General features: G+C 45.5%; 1 annotated feature.

Moving 5' to 3' along the window:
- Window positions 592-1,093: an enhancer, noted in NCBI's record as "OCT4-NANOG-H3K27ac hESC enhancer chr1:80167937-80168438 (GRCh37/hg19 assembly coordinates)". NCBI's record gives its function as "activates a minimal SCP1, AML or CMV promoter by ChIP-STARR-seq in naive H9 embryonic stem cells {active_cell/tissue: H9 hESC(naive)}" and the evidence as "EXISTENCE:reporter gene assay evidence [ECO:0000049][PMID:30033119]".

Below are 1,408 nucleotides of genomic sequence, written 5' to 3' on the forward strand. Positions count from 1 at the left end.
AAACAGGGTTTGTGTGAGCAACATGGCTGTTTATTTCACCTGGTTGCAGGAGAGCTGAGTCCGAAAAGAGAGTCAGCGAAGGGAGATAGGGGTGGGCCATTTTATAGAATTTGGGAAGGTAATGGAAAATTACAGTCAAAGGGGGTTGTTCTCTGGTGGGCAGGGGCGGGGTCACAAGGTGCTCAGTGGGGGAGCTTCTGTACCAGGAGAAGGAAATTCACAGGGTTAATCACTCAGTTAAGGTGGGGCAGGAACAAATCACAATGGTGGTATGTCATCAGTTAAGGCAGGGCAGGGCCTTTTCACTTCTTTTGTGATTCTTCAGTTACTTCAGGCCATCTGGGCATATATGTGCAAGTCACAGGAGATGCGATGGCTTGGCTTGGGCTCAGAGGCCTGACAACGGGGTTTCACTGTGTTAGCCAGGATGGTCTCGATCTTCTGACCTCGTGATCCACCTGCCTCGGCCTCCCAAAGTGCTGGGAATACAGGCATGAGCCACCGTGCCCAGCCTCATTGGAATTTTAATAGGGATTGCATTGAATCTGTAGATCTCTTTGGGTAGTATGTGCATTTTGCCAATATGAGTCTCCTGATTCATAAACATGGTATATCTTTCAATTTATTTGTGTCTTTTTCAATTGATTTTATCAATGTTTTATATTTTTTTAGTGTACAATTGTGGGGAAAAGAAAGAGAGATCAGACTGTTACTGTGTCTATGTAGAAAGAAATAGACATAAGGGACTCCATTTTGTTCCGTCCTAAGAAAAATTCTTCTGCCTTGAGATGCTGTTAATCTGTAACCCTACCCCCAACCCTGTGCTCCCTGAAACATGTGCTGTGTCAACTCAAGGGTAAATGGATTAAGGGCTGTGCAGGATGTGCTTTGTGAAACAAATGCTTGAAAGTAGCATGCTTGTTAAGAGTCATTACCACTCCCTAATCTCAAGTACCCAGAGACACAATACACTGTGGAAGGCCGCAGGGACCTCTGCCTAGGAAAGCCAGGTATTGTCCAAGGTTTCTCCCCATGTGGTAGTCTGAAATATGGCCTCGTGGGAAGGAAAAGACCTGACCATCCCCCAGCCTGACACCCCTAAAGGGTCTGTGCTGTGGAGGATTAGTAAAAGAGGAAGGCCTCTTTGCAGTTGAGATAAGAGGAAGGCATCTGTCTCTGCTAGTCCCTGGGCAATGGAATGTCTTGATTGTATATTCCATCTACTGAGATAGGAGAAAGCCGCCTTAGGGCTGGAGGTGGGACATGCTGGCAGCAATACTGCTCTTTAAGGCATTGAGATGTTTATGTATATGCACATCAAAAGCACAGCACTTTTTTGTTTACCTTGTTTAGGATATAGAAACATTTGTTCACATGTTTTCCTACTGACCCTCTCTCCACTATTACC

This window comes from Homo sapiens, chromosome 1, assembly GCF_000001405.40.
Source record: "Homo sapiens chromosome 1, GRCh38.p14 Primary Assembly".
In the NCBI taxonomy this organism is placed as follows: Eukaryota; Metazoa; Chordata; class Mammalia; order Primates; family Hominidae; genus Homo; species Homo sapiens.